General features: G+C 37.8%; 1 protein-coding gene and 1 long non-coding RNA gene across 30 annotated transcripts in view, besides 2 other annotated features; one reads left to right on the top strand and one right to left on the bottom strand.

The window, feature by feature from the left end:
* CFAP20DC (CFAP20 domain containing) overlaps positions 1-17,648 on the bottom strand; it is a 333,853-nt gene that overhangs the window by 182,085 nt on the left and 134,120 nt on the right. For 22 of the 29 annotated variants that reach the window (XR_001740051.3, XR_007095648.1, XR_001740054.3 and 19 more), the window contains one exon: positions 15,451-15,607. The exons of 3 other annotated variants lie outside the window; for them this stretch is intronic. Coding sequence is in view for 15 of the 26 variants with exons in the window: in NM_198463.4 (NP_940865.1) it covers positions 15,451-15,607 (157 nt within the window). In the remaining 11 variants the exon portion in view is untranslated. Of the gene's footprint in view, positions 1-15,312; positions 15,608-17,648 lie in introns of those variants that run through there. 4 more of the 29 variants (NR_147235.2, NM_001351534.2, XM_011533460.3 and 1 more) reach the window with 3 other exon arrangements.
* CFAP20DC-AS1 (CFAP20DC antisense RNA 1) overlaps positions 1-17,648 on the top strand; it is a 194,623-nt gene that overhangs the window by 73,787 nt on the left and 103,188 nt on the right. The gene's annotated exons all lie outside the window — the stretch shown is intronic.
* Positions 636-1,137: an enhancer, noted in NCBI's record as "H3K27ac hESC enhancer chr3:58884619-58885120 (GRCh37/hg19 assembly coordinates)". NCBI's record gives its function as "activates a minimal SCP1, AML or CMV promoter by ChIP-STARR-seq in primed H9 embryonic stem cells {active_cell/tissue: H9 hESC(primed)}" and the evidence as "EXISTENCE:reporter gene assay evidence [ECO:0000049][PMID:30033119]".
* Positions 1,309-1,548: an enhancer, noted in NCBI's record as "active region_20014". NCBI's record gives its function as "activates an Ori minimal core promoter by ATAC-STARR-seq in GM12878 lymphoblastoid cells {active_cell/tissue: GM12878}" and the evidence as "EXISTENCE:reporter gene assay evidence [ECO:0000049][PMID:35858748]".

Here is a 17,648-nt window from a genome sequence, read left to right on the forward strand (position 1 = left end):
ACTGCCTCCCAGGTTTAAGCGATTCCCCTGCCTTAGCCTCCCAAGTAACTGGAACTACGTAAGCGCATCAGCATGCCCGGCTAATTTTTGTATTTTTAGTAGAGACAGGGTTTCACCATGTTGGCCAGTCTGGTCTGAAACTCCTGAGCTCAAGTGATCCACATGCTTTGGCCTCCCAAAGTGCTGAGATTATAGGTGTTAGCCACTGTAACTGGCCTGCTATTGATACCTGTGATTGCATTGTGAAGTTCTCATGTTGTGTTTTTCACCTCCATCAGTTCAGTTACGTTCTTCTTTAAACTGGCTATTTTGGCTATCAGGTCCTGTATTGTTTTATCATGATTCTTAGCTTCTTTGCTTTGGGTTACAACATGCTCCTTTAGCTCAGCAAAGTTCGTTATTACCCACCTTCTGAAGCCTACTTGTCAGTTTAGTCATCTCAGTCTCAGTCCCATTTTGTGCCATTGCTGGAGAGCTGTTGTGGTCATGTGGAAGCAACTAGGCACTCTGGCTTTTTGAGTTTTCAGTATTTTTGCATTGATTATTTCTCACTTTTGTGGGTTTATCTACCTTTGATCTTTCAGATTGCTCATCTTTGAGTTGGGTTTTTGTGGGGTCCTTTTTGTTTATGTTATTGTTGTTTTCTCTTTGTTTTTTTTTTTAACAGTCAGGCTATTCTTCCATAGGGCTGCTGTGGTTTTCTGAGGGTCCACTCCAGACCCTAGTTGCCTTGTCTTTTCCCATACCAAGGTTACCACCAGTGAAGGCCATGAAACAGCAAAAATGTCAGCCTGTTCTTTCCTCTGGAATCTCCATCCCAGGGGGGTACTGACCTGTTGCCAGCCTGAACTGCACCTGTAGGAGGAGGCTGGAGACCCCTGTTGGGAGGTCTCATCCAGTCAGGAGTAACAGGATCAGGGACCCACTTAGAAAAACAGTCTGGCTGCTTTCTAGTAGTGCAGCTGTGCTGCGTTGTGGGAGACCCTTCCTTGTCCAGGCTGTCTGGACTCTCCAGAGCTGGCAGGTTGGAACTGCTGAGTTGCCTAAACCACAGAGATGTTGGCCACCCCTCCCACTGGGGACTCGGTCCTTCTCAGGCAGACTCAAGCCTGCTGCTGCTGACTGGCTGGAATTTGCCATTAGGTCTTAATTTGTGAGACACTGTGGAAGGGGGGCCTGCAGAACATGCTGCTTGGCTTCCGGGATTCAGTTCCCTTCCTAGGGATGGATCTCCCACCTTGCTGAGAATCCTGGGGGTGGAGTATGCAAAACTCCTGGGTCTCTGTGTGTGCCTGAGTGGCTGCTCTGCTGGGACTCCACACAGCTCTGTTTATTGGACCCAGTACCCTGGTGGCATGCGCTTATGAGGGGATCTCCTAATCTGCTGGTTGCAAAGATCCGTGGGAGGGGTGTGGTTTCCTGGGCAGGACTGCACAATCACTCACCGCTTCCCTTGGCTGGGGTGGGGGGACTGTTGGCTTCATGCCACTCCCGGATGGGCCATCACCCCACCCTGCTTTTTTTCCATTCTCTGCAGGTCAAGCTGTTTGCCTAGTCAGTAATGTGAGAACCTGGATATTTCAGCTGAGGGTGCTGAACTCACTTGCCACTTTCACTCCTCTCCACGAGTGCTGCAGACCACAGCTGCTTTTAATCAGCCATCCTGGCCCTCTCTCCCCACAGATAATTCTTTAATTAAAATTTTGCTAAGTACTCTGAGGGAAAAGTTCAAGGTGAAGAAACAGCATAATGGGAGAATCTAATAGCATAAGGCGTCAGGGAAAGTCCTGTGTGATAAAGAGACATTTAAGTTGAGTCATAAAAGATAAGTAGAAAGTAGCCTGATAAAATGGGTGGGAGTGATCAGTGAGGTGAAAGGAATAGATCATCGAAGACTGTGAAGGCAGAAGGACTCTGGTGCATTCTAGGAACTGAGATAAAGTTCTGCCAAAGGATTGTTAGCCTGGAAGTGAATGACTGGAGAATCCTAATGATATATTTAGTACAGCACCTGGTTCAAAGGGGATGCAAAGTAATCCCCTTATGGACAGAAGCCCCTTAATAACAGCCTGGACTAGATTAAATGCAGCTGCCACGTCTTCCCTTTTCTTCCTTTGGTTAGTCTTTGTTCAGCTATATCCTGAAAAGTACTCCATACACATTTTATTTGGATATTACAACTTTCTCCCAGATGGCAAATAACAAATCAATCAGATATTAAGGGACCAGGGCCTGTCTGCATTGTTCTTTCAGACATGTTCTATCTTCTGGAAGGGACTGTGTATGGAAACATACAGACTGCCTGATTAACATCTAGATAAGGACATAGCTGAATCTAAACTGCTTTTGCTAACAAATATGAAAGCATGTAATGTTGGCTGGAATGGCCAGTTGAGAATGGCTAAATGGCACATGAAAGAGAAGGCTATGAGAAAGCTGACAGCTCATGCAGCGTCCAAGCACAACCAGATGGTGGGTTTCTTGATGTCTTTGCTCCCAATATGAGGTAGTGTATTATTGGAATGTTTGAGTGACTTTGTAACCCTGTTCCCCTTTCTTTGGCCATAAAGCCATCATAAAATGATCCATTCTGTAGGTGTTTAATATCTTTGAAGAGGATCTTAACTAGCTGTAAGAATTAAGTCATCAATTTTAACACATATGTAAAGCACTTTATGTATTAAAAATCATCATCCCCATTTTATTAGGGGGAATGGCTTGTAGAGAGTGAGATTTATAGATCGGTTTTGGTATACGTCTCCTTCTAATTAATATAGTTTAAATAATGACTAATTTTGTAATAGTTTGCTGGTCTCAGACTCATCTACGTTCATCTTATTTATTTGGTAAGAGCCTGCAGTGCCTAGCACAGTGCTTTAGTTATGTGGAATTTCACCTCTCTGAAACAACAGTGAGGGCCAAGTATAAAACACAAAGTTCTCTGCCAAAATATTGCGATAAAGTGTGTTCATTTTTTGTTCATTCACTCATTCATTTGCCATGTAACTCTCAGATTTTCTCTGAGTTTGCTATAGAATGCTGGAAAACATTAAGAAGCAGTATATTATAGTGGTTAAGAGCACAGGCTCTGGGGCAAGGCTTCCTGGGCTCATATTCTGGCTCCACCACTTATTAGCTGTGTGACCTTGGCACAACAACTCTACCTTGTTGTATGTACCCTGCTCTCCTTATCTGTAAATCATGGACACAAAAATAATACTTACCTCAAAGGGCTATTGTGATAATTAAATGAGGTTTAAGTAATGATTAATGTAAATGAGGGGATAAGAATAGTGCCTGGTATACAGCAAGTGCTACGTAAGTGTTTATGTAAATTATTTCATTACAATGGTGAAAAAAGCACTACATCTTACTAAGTGATTTTTTTAATAACAAAAGGTTTTGATGTCTGAAGGGGTAAATAAACCTGAGCTACACCTAAAACTTGGCTATCCTGAATGAATCATGCCTTTAGAGCTTTTTTAAAAAAATGCTTTATTGAAGAGAAATTCACATTAACAGAAAATTGACCATTTCAAAGTGAACTATTCAATGGGACTTAGTACATTCATAATGTTGTGCAACTACCACCTCTATCTACTTTCAGACATTTCTATCACTCCAAAATAAAACCCCTTATCCATTAAGTAGCTTCTCCCCAATCTCTCAAGTCTCCAGTCCCTGGCAGCCACAAATCTCTTCTGTCTCTGTGGATTTGCCTATTCTGGATATTTCATAAAAGTGGAATCATACATTATGTGACCTTTTTTTGTCTGGCTTCTTTCACTGAGCATGTTTTGGAGGTTCCTCCACATTGTAGCAAGTGTCAGTACTGCATTCCTTCTTATGGCTGAATGCCATTCCATTGCAATACATACAAATGGCTGAGTGCTATTCCACTGTAATACATACATCATTTTTTAATCCATTCATTTGTTGATGAACACTTGGGCTGTTTTCACATTTTGGCTAATGTGAATTGTGCTGCTATGATTATGTATGTACATGCACTTGTTTGAATACCTGTTTTCCATTCTTTTGGGTATATACCTAGGAATGGAAATGTAGGGTTACATGGTAATTCTACATTTCACTTTCTGAGGAACTGCCACACTGTTTCCCCACAGCGGGTGAACGATTTTATGTTCCTACCAGTAATGTACAGGGGTTCCAATTTCTCTACATCCTTGCCAACCCTTATTCCCATCCTAGTGGGTATTAAGTGGTACCTCACTGTGATTTTAACTTGCATTTCCCTAATGGCTAATGATATTGAACATTTTTTCACGTGTTTGTCTACCATTTGGATATCTTATTTGAAGAAATGTCTATTCAAGTCCTTTGATTATTTTTAAATTGAGTTGTTTGTCTTTTTGTTGTTGAGTTTTAAGAGTTCTTTATACAGTCATCCCTTGGTATCCACAAGGGATTGGTTCCTAGGACTCTACACAGATACCAAAATCTGCAGATGCTCAAGTCCCTTATGTAAAACAGCACAGTATTTACATATAACCTATGCACATCTTCCAGTATACCTTAAATCATCTCTATATTACCTACAATACCTAATACAATGAAAATGCTAGGAAATAGTTATACACACTGTTTATTTGTATTACTTTTATTGTTATATTGTTTTTTTAATTTTTTTCCCCTGAATATTTTTCATCTGCACTTGGTTGAAAATCTGTGAATGGGGAAGCTGCAGATATGGAGGGTGGGCTGACTATATTCCGGGTACTAGAATATACTAGAATGTTTTCTCTCTATATATTCATATATAAACCAGGATACATATCGTATCAGATATATGATTTGCAAATATTTTCTCACATGCTGTAGGTTTTCTCTTCACTTTCTTGATGGTGTTCTTTGATACACAAAAGTTTTACATTTTGATGAAGTACAATTTATCTATTTTTAAAAACTTTGTTGCTGTGCTTTTGGTATCATATCTAATACTATTGACAATGCAAGGTCATGAAGATTTACCTTTTTTTCTCTAAGAGTTTTACAGTTTCAGCTCTTATATTTAGGTCAAGGAAACATTTTTAGTTAATTTTTGTATACGATATGTGGTAGGAGTCCACCTCATTTTTTTGCATGTGGATATACAGAATCATCTGTTGAAGAGACTATTCTCCTTCTATTAAATGGTCTTATAGCCCTTTTTGAAATCAAATGTATGGTTTGTGTATTAGTTCCTTCTCAGGCTGCTATGAAGAAATATCCAAGACTGGGTAATTTATAAAGGAAAGAGGTTTAATTGACTCACAGTTCTGCATGGCTGACAAGGCCTCAGGAAACTTACAATCATGGTGGAAGGGGAAGCAAACATGTTCTTCTTCATAAAGCAGCAGGAGAGAGAAGTGCTGAGCAAAGAGGGGAAAGCCTCTTATAAAACAATCAGATCTCATGAGAGCTTACTATCACAAGAAGAGCATGAGGGTAACTGCAGCCATGATTCAATTACCTCTCACCGGGTCTCTCCCACCACAACACATGGGGATTACGAGAACTACAACTCAAGATGAGATTTGGGTGGGGACACAGCCAAACCATATCAGTTTGTTTCTCGACCCAATTCTATTCAGTTGGTCTATATGTCAATCCTTATTCCAAAGCCAAATTGTTTTGGTTACTGTAGCTTCGCAGTAAGTTTTGAAATTGGGAAGTGTGAATCCTTCAACTTTGATCTTCATTTTCAAGACTGTTTTGGCTATTTGGGTCCCCTTGCTATTCCACAGGAATTTCAGATCAACTTTTCCATTTCTGCAAAAAAGCCCATTGGAATTTTTGGAGAAATTGCATTGAATCTGTATCTCAACAATATTAAATCTTCTAATCCATGCATGTGAGATGTCTTTCCATTTATTTAGGTCTTCTTTAATTTCTTGCAGGAACGTTTTGTAGTTTTCAGTGTACTTTCTTCTTCTTCATTACATTTATTCCTAGGTAGTTAACTATTTTGGATGCTATTGTAAATGGAATTGTTATTTTTAGAGTTTCTGAGAGATGAGGTTCTATTATAAATAATATTTTATAAATGTTTAATTTTAAAATATAATAGATATTTGAATCAGAATAATTGTGAGTCTTGATATACAGATATTCATGACCCATTTTTGGTGGTTCTACTATTGGCTGCTGGGCACCTCTGTTATACTAAGACCATACCCCCTATCTTGTCCTGAGGAGATTTGCTAGGAAAGGGCATTTTGAGTTCATCTCCACTACAGGAAGGTATAGAAATAGAGCCTTAAACTAATGAGATTTGGGTATGATGTGCATTCACCTGATTTGGAGATGAAAATAGAGGTGAGGAAACACCCAACATAAGAATACCAAATATTATTACAACTAATAATAAATACTAAAACCACAAAATCATTCTGATTATTGGTGGAGGTAAACTTGTGCACTGTTGAGGTCTTGAATTCCATCTTGTGTGACTGCAGCACAAAATGCCTCACTTCCATGGGCTTTCTTTTCCTTATTTGTCTAATTAAGACATTGGATTAGAGCATCTCTAAGGTCCCTCCCTGTTCAGTGAGTCTATTAAGGCTAGATGTCAGTGTTTCTAGATTCTCCGTGGCTTCTGAAGGAATAAATTTTCTTCACATTGCTTGACACTCTATAAAGGTTTATTGAACGGAGACAGTGAATGGATGAATAGTTAAATAAATAGCCAATCTTTAATTCATTAATTAATCAAACACTTATGATAAGTTACCAGTGCCAGGTCATTTGCTAGAGACAAAAACATGAAAATACAGGGTCTATGCCTTCCAGGGCCTCTTAGTCTGAAATCATACCTTAATTTTTCTTTTCTCACATTTCTGAACACAGAATACACAGAACACAGAGCACAGAATATTTGAGAAAGAGACCTGAACTGGGGAGTAAGGAGACCTGTATCATCATCACTGGTGTATCATATCTTGCTTCATGGATCATCATTTGATCTTCTCTCTTCTCATTTCTCTCCTCTGTCTTCCTTTTACTTAACAATCTACACAGATATTATCATTGCTTGTTCTACTCCCCTTGTTTTTCTCCTCTTTCTCTTATCTATCTAAATATGCATTCTGGTTTTTATCTTAAACACAGAATGATATGAGTTAATCAATAATTCAGTCATAGAAATGCCTAAAAATGCCAGCTCATGTCTCCTCAGGAGCCATAAAAGTAATAAAGTAAATTGAATCAGTACGCTTTACTACTTGTCCAGCAAAAGTCATTCTTCTGGAAAAGTGAAAACTGATTAATTGCTTGATGCAAGATTCCAAAAAATTCACTTTCTATTATATCCCACTGTGTAAAGAGAGAATAGAGAGGAATCAGGCAAAATCTCCTAGCTTGGGTGAGTTTAAGAAGTTCTAGACTGAAATGATAGCAGTTTAAGTAATCCAAGGACAATAAAGTACTGAGCTCAAGTAAGCACTTAATTCAAAATTTTTAAATCAAATCCCAGTGTGGAATTTAAGAAATAGGTTAAAAAGCTTCCTATGAAAAAGTTCTCAACACAGCCTCATCAGTCTTTGCAGAATAAAGACAAAAGATATCTGTTACTTATTGCAATATAGATACCCTCAACACAGCCAGTCACCAAATCTTGGCATTCTTACTCCATGGCATCTCTTGTATCTTTCCTTTTTAAATCTGTCTCTCTTCTACCAGCACATGAGAAGCAGCAAACTGAAATAATTAGGAATATAAGCTCTGGAACCCTACTGCAAGGTTCAAGTCCTGGCTGTACTACTGAAGAATAGTGTGACATTGTGCACCTTACTTGACCTCTCCATGCCTCAGTTTTCCTACATATAAAATGGTGATAATGGCAACATCCATCTCACAGAGTTGTTATGAACACTAGGTAAGTTCATATCTATAAGTGTTTAGAACTCTGCCTAGGTCACATCAAGAAGTAATGCTGTAATCAGCACCACAATCATCATCACCATCCCCACTACCGTCATTATTATCACAATCATTGCATCACTTCTACTGCCCACCTCCTTGACCAAGGACACTCAATTTGTCCTATACTATGTTATCCTTTGTCCTTTTATGTGTAATTGTCTTCATAATGAACTCTTGTATTAACTTTTCTAACGTCTATAATTACACACAGAACTCACAGGACAGGAACTGAGCTCTACATCTTTATGTCAACCCAAATATGCAGCCTAGTGTGGCAATATTGTATTATACCTTCTACCCTGCCACCATACTGAACTTGTTCCTTGAGCATATGAGATCCTTTCATGATGCCATGGCTTTATACATATATGCCCTTTCCTCTGCCTGAAATGCTTTTTCTACTCATTGTCCTATTTTCATTGTTGGGAAAATAATTATTAATACTTTTCCTTCAAGATGCAGTACAGGGCTAGGTGCAGTGGCTCACAACTGTAATCCCAGCACTTTGGGAGGCCAAGGTGGGATCACTTGAGTCTAGGAGTTCAAGACCAGCCTAGGGAACATAGTGATGCCCTGCCTCTACTCAAAATAGAAAAAAATTAGCTAGGCAGGTGGTACACACCTGTAGTCCCAGCTCATCAGGAGGCTGAGGCAGGAGGATAGCTTGAGCCCATGGAGGCTGAGGCTGCAGTGAGCTGTGATCACGCCACTGCACTACAGCCTGGGCAACGGAGTGAGATCCTCTCAAAAACAAAAGCAAAAAACAAGATGCAGTCTGGAAAGTAAACTTCTTAGGTCAGTATCTCCTAAACAGTGGCTATGGACAGATACTGATCCAGGAAGTCATTTTCACTAGTCTATGGTGAAAATGTCAGCCTCCATTCCTAAATTAAGACCTTCCTACTTTGTGCCTCGTGTGTGTGTGTGTGTGTGTGTATGTATGTGTGTGTGTCTGTGTAAATGTCCTTTCATTTAATGAAACAATCAGAATAACTGAAGTTTTTCTTGTTTGTGTGTTTTAATCTTCTGATTTGACAAATTTATATGTCGGCAACCTATGGTAGTCAAATTTTTCTTAACCTGACAGGTCTGTGAAATCCAAGAACCTCACCAAATGGCTCTCTCAAGTAAGGGGCAAGTGCTCCAGACTCTCCTCTTACTGCTAAGTAAGCTCATTAGTGAAGTTACCATTGGGATTTAATACACTATTACATGTAAGGTTTCTTGCCAGACCCTGAGCAGGGAAGCAGGGGCTGCATCATCCCGGGGTCTGGTGAACAGAAGACAGATAAATGTTTAACATCTGCACACTGCATTATCATTTATGCACATCTATTTTTGTATTTGATTGGATCTCTACAATAACCTTATAGCAATCAATGAGAAAGCAAAGCTCAGAGATGTTCAGAACTCATACAAACCCACAAAGTTGGTGCAGGATCACAGCAATGTACTGTGTGGGAACATTACTCCATGTCTTAGGCGCTACAATACCAACTTAACTTTTCTAAGATGTACTTGGTTTACACACTTTGTGTTTGCACTGGAAATATGATAATAGCATTTTACCTAATCAAGGCATAAGTATTATCCTCATTTTACTGATAAGGAAGCTGAAGCATAAAGATAGGGTGCGTACAAGGCGAAGTACTGGCAGCTAAGATGAAAGGAATACGGGGTTATACACCACAGCACCTTGAACCATAGTGTGCTTCCCCGTGTCTATTCAGAACATTTCAGGCCATCTGAGAGGCTACATTCATAAGGTTTCTTTTCAGGCCTTCCAAATACCTGAAAGAAATCACACCAATGCTCGTTCTTAGACTCCCTTACGGATAATCCATTCATTTTTAATAAAATTAATTTTTAAACAAAATAATACATCTATATTATTTAAAAGCTCCAGTGGTACTACAAAATTATAAGAAAAAAATCACTGTTACCCTTTCACCTAAGGCTGCCCTTCCACCTCCCTTATCCCAAAGTCTTGCAATGCAGAGGCAAGTATTTTCAAGCCTTTCAGTTATATCTTCTACATCTTCTAGTGTTTATTTCCATAATTATACATAGTAGCTTTATACTAATATTTTTTCACTTTTCAGTTTTGGATAATATCTCTGACTTCCTATTTTGAAAGAAAGAGGATTCACCATTCTTAAGCCACCACCCCGTTTTCCTTCCCTTCTCTCATCCTTCTAATATGATTTTTCATAATTTTTGGATAAATTCTTATTCAGTGTTTTACATTACTAAGATCATACTAAAAAGTTTATACTACACACATATTAGAACGGTGAAATATCCAAAACAGTGACAACACCAAATGCCGGTGAGAATGTGGAGTAATAGGAACTCGTATTCACTGCTGGGGGAAATGAAATATGGTACAGCCACTTTGGAAGACAGTTTGCAAGTTTCTTACAAAACTAAACATGCTGTTACCATACAGTCCAGCAACCACAATCCTTGGTATATCCAAATGAGTTGAAAAGTGTATCCACAAAAAAACCCCACACAAAAATGTTTATAACAGTTTTATTCATAATTGCAAAAGCCTGGAAGCAATGAAGATGTCTTTCAATAGGTGAATGGATGAATAAACTGTGGTACATGTATACAATGGAATATTATCCGGTGTTAAAAAGAATTGAGCTATGACGGCATTAACAGATATGGAGGGACCTTAAATGCGTATTACTAAGTGAAAGAAGCCAATCTGAAAAGGCTACATACTATATACTTTTAACTATGACATTCTGGAGAAGGAAAATTAGGAAGACAATTTAAAAAAATGAGTGGTTGCCAGGGGTTAGGGGAAGAAAGAAAGAAATAGCTGGAGCACAGAAGACCTTTAGGGCAGTGAACCTATTCTGTGTGATACTATAGTACTAGCTAGACACAGGTCTTTACCTATTTGCAAGAACCCAAAGAGCGTATAGTACCAAGAATGAATTCTAATGTAAACTATAGACTTTGGATGATAATGATGTCTCAGTGTAAGTTCATCGATTGTAACATATGTACCATTCTGTTATGCATGTTCACAGTGGGGAAGGCTACATGCATGTGGGGACAAAGGACATGATGAAAACTCTATACTGTCCGCTTCATTTTACTATGAGCCTAAAACTGCTAAAAAAATAAAGTCTACTTAAAAAAAAAGTTGTGCATATCTGAGCTACATGATATATTACGATATTTCTTCTCTTGTACAACTTTTTGTTTTTCTTGATGTTGATTATTGCTTTGTTTTGTTGTAGGTTTTCTACACTTCTAACATTAATTCTTTCTAAATCCTCCATTAGCACTACAACACCACAATCAATTTTATTCTTCATGTTCAAACACATCATACTCTATCAGATACATTTTTTTCCTGGAAACTTTTCTCCTGAAAGTTTCCATTTTTCTGCTAAACTCTGGACAGTCTGCCTATAGATGTGCTGTCCAAGAGTCATCCTTTGAATTCTTTTGTGCTTAATTCTAGAAATCCTTTTGCTTTCTTTTCTTAAAGACTTAACTTTCTTGTTTTAAATTAAATTAAGTTTAATTTAATTTTAAGTTCTGGGGTACATGGGCAGGATGTGCAGGTTTGTTACATAGGTAAACATGTGCCATGGTGGTTGGTTGCATCTATCAACTCATCATCTAAGTATTAAGCCCAGCATACATTAGCTATTTTGCCTGAAGTTCTCCCTCCTCTTGTTCCCTACTCCCCAACAGGCCCCAGTGTGTGTTGTTCCCCTCCCTGTGTCCATATGTTTTCATTGCTCAGCTCCCACTTATGAGTGAGAACATGCAGTGTTTGGTTTTCTATTCCTGTGCTAGTTAGCTGAGGATGATGGCTTCCAACTTCATCCACGTCCCTGCAAAGGACATGATCTCATTCCTTTTATGGCTGCATAGTATTATTCCCTGGTGTATCTGTACCACATTTTCTTTATTCAGTCTATCACTGATGGGCATTTGGGTTGATTCCATGTATTTGCTATTAAGACTTTACTTTTTTGGAGCAGCTTCTCTCTTTGCTTTTCTCCTGGATGAAATTTTCTGTTTCTTGAATCCTATATACTTCTTTTTCTTCACCCACTCACTCATTTTTGTGGAGAATATCTTCGAGATATTTTCTGAGAAACGATGTAAATAAATTTTTGAGGCCTTGTATCTTCATTCTGCATCATTTGATTGATAGATTGGATGCATATAGAACTTTAGGTTGATAATAATTTTTCCTTAGACTTTTAAAGGTAGTTTCAAGGTCTTCTATCATCTAACATTGCTATTAAGAAGTTAGATATCATTCTTATTCCCAATCCTTTGTACATAAATTGTATTTTTTTAAATTGTGGAAGTTTAAAGGATCTTCTCTTTATCTTTCCTGTTCTAAAATTTCACAGTGCTAAGTCTTTTTCATTAGTTGTTCTGGCATGTGATGAGCTATCTCAATCTGAAAATATCTGTCCTTGAATTTTGGGAAATCTTATATTTCTGTTTCTTCTAGTCTCTCTTTCTGGAATCCTTTTACTCTGATGGTGAACTCCGTGGACTAATACCTAATATTGGTAGCATTTCCATCCTATTTTTAGTCTTTTGCACTTATTTCTCTTATTTTTTGGTTTTATATCTTCAGAGGAAGAAAACACCACCTAGAGCCTCAAAATATTTCCTAAGTTTTGATACCCAATGTCCATCATTAACTCAAAACTTATCAGGCATACCAAGAGACAAGACCAAGGGAAAAATAAACAGATAATAGAACTAGGCCTACATATAGATCCAAATATTGGAGTTGTGAGCTAAATGCTTTAAAATAAGTTTGATTAACATATTTGAGAAATGTGTTAACAAGATGTAGAACTCCATCTTATGAATGGAAACTATAAAAAAGAACCAAATGCAAATTCTAGAATCAAAAAATATAGTAACTGAAATTAAGAATGCTGAAGTATGCATTCATTCTGCTCTGAGATAAATGCCTACATGAATGCCCCAAGAGAAGTAAAGAAGAATGCTTCTAGCACCATTATTCATAACAGCTGAAAACAGATAAATAAAATCAGGTATATCCATTCAATAGCATACTATACAGTACTGGAAATCAGAAAATTACTGTTATGTGCCACAACATAAATGAATCTCACAAAGAATGTTTAGTACAAGAATGCATACATGAAATATGTACTATGTGATTCCATTTATATAAATGTAAAAGATAGGTAATATTAATCTGTTAGAAGTCAGTATAGAGGTTATCTCTTAGGAGAAGGAAGGAAGTGATGATTGGGAGGAGACATAAGCAGGCTTGTAGGATGCTTGTAATGCTTGATCTGGGTGGTGGTTACAGAAATGTGTTCACTTTGTGGTAATACCTCCAGTTGTACACTTATGATTTCTGCATGTTTCTATATGTATATAAAATCTATAATATAGTAACACTTATAATACACCTCAATTAAATGTTTATTGAAGTAAAATAAAAACACATTATTCTTATTTTATAGATGCAGTATCTTAACTCTGAAAAAAACCATGGATATTCCCTGTCATATCTATTTCCTTCTTGTTAATTTTGATGTCTATCAAGTGCCTGATGCACCCATGTTCAAAAGCTCTCTGATTCAGTTTCTCCAGAGACTAAATCTCCTGTGGCTTGGTTATATGGAGTTAGAGCAGGAACCTGGGGTCCTCCTATAGCAACCCGTACAGAATTTTGGCCAATCTCCCTGTTTTCAGCCCTCATCCTTAGCCTGCCTTTGCCAGTATGTAAAGCTGCAAATTCTTGAGCCTCTCTGAAACTCCTTGGCAAACTTCTCTATAAACCTAAAGGTTTCAGTTTTCTTTGCTCTTCTAAGTCATTGCTTAATCTTATAAAATTTACAAACGTCTCTTGTCCGTTATTGTCTCCCCTCCCATATTCTTTATTCTGGTGGATTTATGCCTTTTTTATTCCTATATAGTAATTTCAGTGGAGCTTGAGGAAGGATCAGAGATTGAAACATGCATTTACTTTGCTATGTTTGATCCACTTTTTTCTTTACATTTATTTTAAAATATTAATCAGGTTATGATTCACCTCCTATGATCTGATGTACACTGCACAAATATTTCTATAAATTTTGAGGCTTCTTATTAGCTGGGTGCCATTTAAAAAAATGAAATCTTTCACTTTCTCGTATAGTCTGTAAGTGGGTACATAAGATGAGCAGCCACACTGTGGTGTGTGATCTCTTTGGAGAGCTGTTAATACACTGCTGTGCTTTATTATCAAATGAAATTTATAGGCACAGTGTCCTGTTCCACAGAGTGAGCCACATCAAGATTTCTCAGGCACACACCCAGATGGAGCACAAATCTGAAGTCTAGATAGAAACTTCTAAGTAATCACCTTTGACATCTTATATGCAGCCCTGCTTCCTGGACTTCTAGAAGAATTGATTTAACAAATAATAATCCCAGATGAAAATCAAAAGGAGGCATCAGTATTCTTTCAATACTTTTGGTTGTTTAAAACCATCTGAGCAGTATGGTGTGCTACCTTATGAATTCCAGGGAGCTGAGTTACCTGCAGAGTATATTTATAAATCAAATTATGAACAATTAATGTAAATATTTCTAGTCTCTCTAGAAATATGAGGAAGAACTCAACTCTTTCCATTTTAACTTGATCACTAGAAAATTAATATGATTTCTCCCAAATGACTTCCTGAAATGTACACAGAGTAATAAGACAGCATAATGGACAGAGATTTTTGAATGCCCAACATCTTTTGCACACCCTTCCTAATTTGATGACTTTCCCACACAATGAGTCCTGCCTCCTTAGTCAGGAATCAGACATTGCTTTGCCTGCCTTCCTTGCAGCATGCAACCTAGACTCCACAGGACAGAAACAGCCACACCAAACGTTTTCAGTGGAGACAAACATGAAGAAAAATATATCTACTTCTGATAAGGGTGGCAGGGAAGAAAACATCCTACTTTCAGGGGCTGCTGTAACAGAAATTATGGAACTTATAGCCCAGCATTATGATGTGACTTATGGAGTCTCTGTATAGTTGCAGTAGCTACTGGCAGTGGGTGGAGGTGGCAAATGGATGGGGTTGTCCTTAGATAAGTCTTGTGGGAGAGGCTGGATTCTTCTTGACTATAGGCTCTCAGCTGACTCTCTAAATATCCTTGAGATTCTATGAACTGTCTGATTTCCTTAAATAAATTCCTGTTCTTTTTCAACCACCTAAAGAGGATTATGTTGTTTGTAACTAAGGAGCCTAAGACAGATAGCAAGTGTTACCATAAAGAAAAAAGAAAACAACCACAAAAAGAAGATTAATACCTTTTTTGTGACATTCAGCTATAGTAAAAATAAACATTTGATCTAGAACAAAGAAATCAGCATGACTGTTGACAAATTTACTTTAGCAGACATAACATCAAACTGCTACCACACACTCATACTATCCCAAAGGTATGGCTAATTTTAAAAATACATCAGAGAATTAAAAAATCTTGATAGCAACCTGAACATACCATCCTTATCAGCAGTGTCTTGTGGCTTTGATTTTAAGGTGAAGATCTTCCGTAGCTTACAGTTAGCTGAGACAACAATTCCATCCAATGACTGGAAAACTGCCCCCTTGAATATTTCACTGGTGAATGCTACTAAGTCAATGCATAGATTGCACCACTAAAATAGAGAGATGCAAAGAAGAGTAAGGACCTTTCATCAACACATAAATGAACAAACCATCTATATGTAGACATTCAAAGAGTTGAGGCAGTTATCCTGATCAACAAGCCCCAAACTAATTTTCCTCTTTAGGTAAACTTATCTCTGTTTTGGCTTAAAAACTGACTTGATCTTTCCAAAGAAATCACCATAATTCTAAATTACACATTGGTCATCTGACTACAGAATTCCCATCATGAGACAAGACTATGACAACTTTGGGAAATAACTCTCTATCTGTAGGCAGTATGCCAGCAGGAAGCTAATTGCAGGTGTGTTAGACCAGTGACATCTTGAAAATCAGAGATAAGTAGCCAATTGTTCCTTCAAGGGGACTAATTTGATCACAATTAGCCACTCGTATTTGTTGAAAAAGGCATGGATGAAATTAGAAGCTGGGTTTAAATTATGGTCAGTGCTGTCTACTTATAACCAATTAACCTATTGTACGGAAACAGATTCTTCTAAAGAATTTGTAATTATGCTGGGTATTTGCCAGTTTTTAAAGTACTCTTGCAGGGACTAATTTCTGCGCATTAAATAATTAGGCCCCTCAATACTTCATCAAATGAATTTTCTGAATGGTTAAAGAAAATGAAAAAAAATCATTTGGCAAGAAACAAAGACATATTTAAGACTGTAGGACAAAAGCCAGAAAAATAATTTTTGAAATGAAAAGTAGTATTAAAGTTTTATGTGCTTCTTTTAAAATATTGGGCTCTTCCATTATTTGTTTAGAAGCAAGGTTTACATAAGGTCCTGTATATATAAATATATATATATATATTTTTTTTCTTTTTTTTAAAGACAAATCTTATATATCTAGGAATGCTGATTTTAATATGGAGGTGAACCTTAGGTTGCTTCCACAGTAGAAAAAGTAAAAGAGACCGAAATACATTATTTATTAAATACATGAAGAGTATTTTCTATGTAGATGTCTCAACAGTAAAATTACATTTGCAGGCTGTGGCAACGCTCTGGTCTTTGTGGAGAGAGGAGCCTGGTGTCAGCAAAGGCAGCAGGTAAACTGAGAGTCAAGTAATAGTGTGATTGGCTTGACTGGCAGAATGGTGAACACTGGAGCGGAATGAAGTAATGTAAGATGGCCCAGTGAGGCCAGGTTTCAGAGCATCTGGAGAGGGTAAAGCATCACTGCGGTTCTTTACAAAAGAATGTGCAAAAGCAGAGTGTTGAGAAGTTCGGACTAACCATGATGCAGGAATATTTTGAGGTGGGAGATGGGGTTGGGCGGGGGAATGAGGCAGAATGGAGAGCACCAAGGCACAGAAAGACTAGTTTGGTCCCTGTCAGTCATCTAAACACGAAGTGAGGAGGGCTGGCTAGGAAGCTTATGTAGGAAGTAGAGTGTAAGGGACAAATCCAGTAGATACGCCACAGAGTGGAACACTGTGGCTTGGTGAAATGCAGGTTATAGGGGATGGAAGTGTTGGGGTTTCTAGATATCCAATCATAATTATTAACCTTATTATAATATTAGCATTATTATTGTTGTATAAACGTGGTTCCTAGTCCTAAAAGACTTCTTATCATGCCCCAATCTCAACCATTCAGCTGGTTCATCAGTCAGCAATTCCAGTGACCCATTCTTCCCCACACATACTAAGTACCTATCATGTGTTAGACTCTGGGCTTGGCTCCAGGGGTACAGACATAAATAAGAGAGTCCTTTCAGTCTGGGAAGGAAGGCAGACATGTGGTATCTACCCAATACAGTTACTACTGAGGGGGCTCATGGTGGGTATGTGGGGAGGCTTAGGAAAGCTTTATTTGAAAAAAACATTTTAAAAATTGTATTATGGTATTATATGCAAATATAAGCCAGATAGCACCAAAAGTTTGATACGAAATACAGTTCTTTGTCACCCTACCCCTCATCTAATCATACTGTCAACTCATTTAACTGTTTCTTCCCTCTGTATTTTAAAGTAATGCCTCTTGATTCATCAATTTTGGACACTATCTACTGACTTCCTAA

This window comes from Homo sapiens, chromosome 3 (assembly GCF_000001405.40).
Source record: "Homo sapiens chromosome 3, GRCh38.p14 Primary Assembly".
Lineage (NCBI taxonomy): Eukaryota > Metazoa > Chordata > Mammalia > Primates > Hominidae > Homo > Homo sapiens.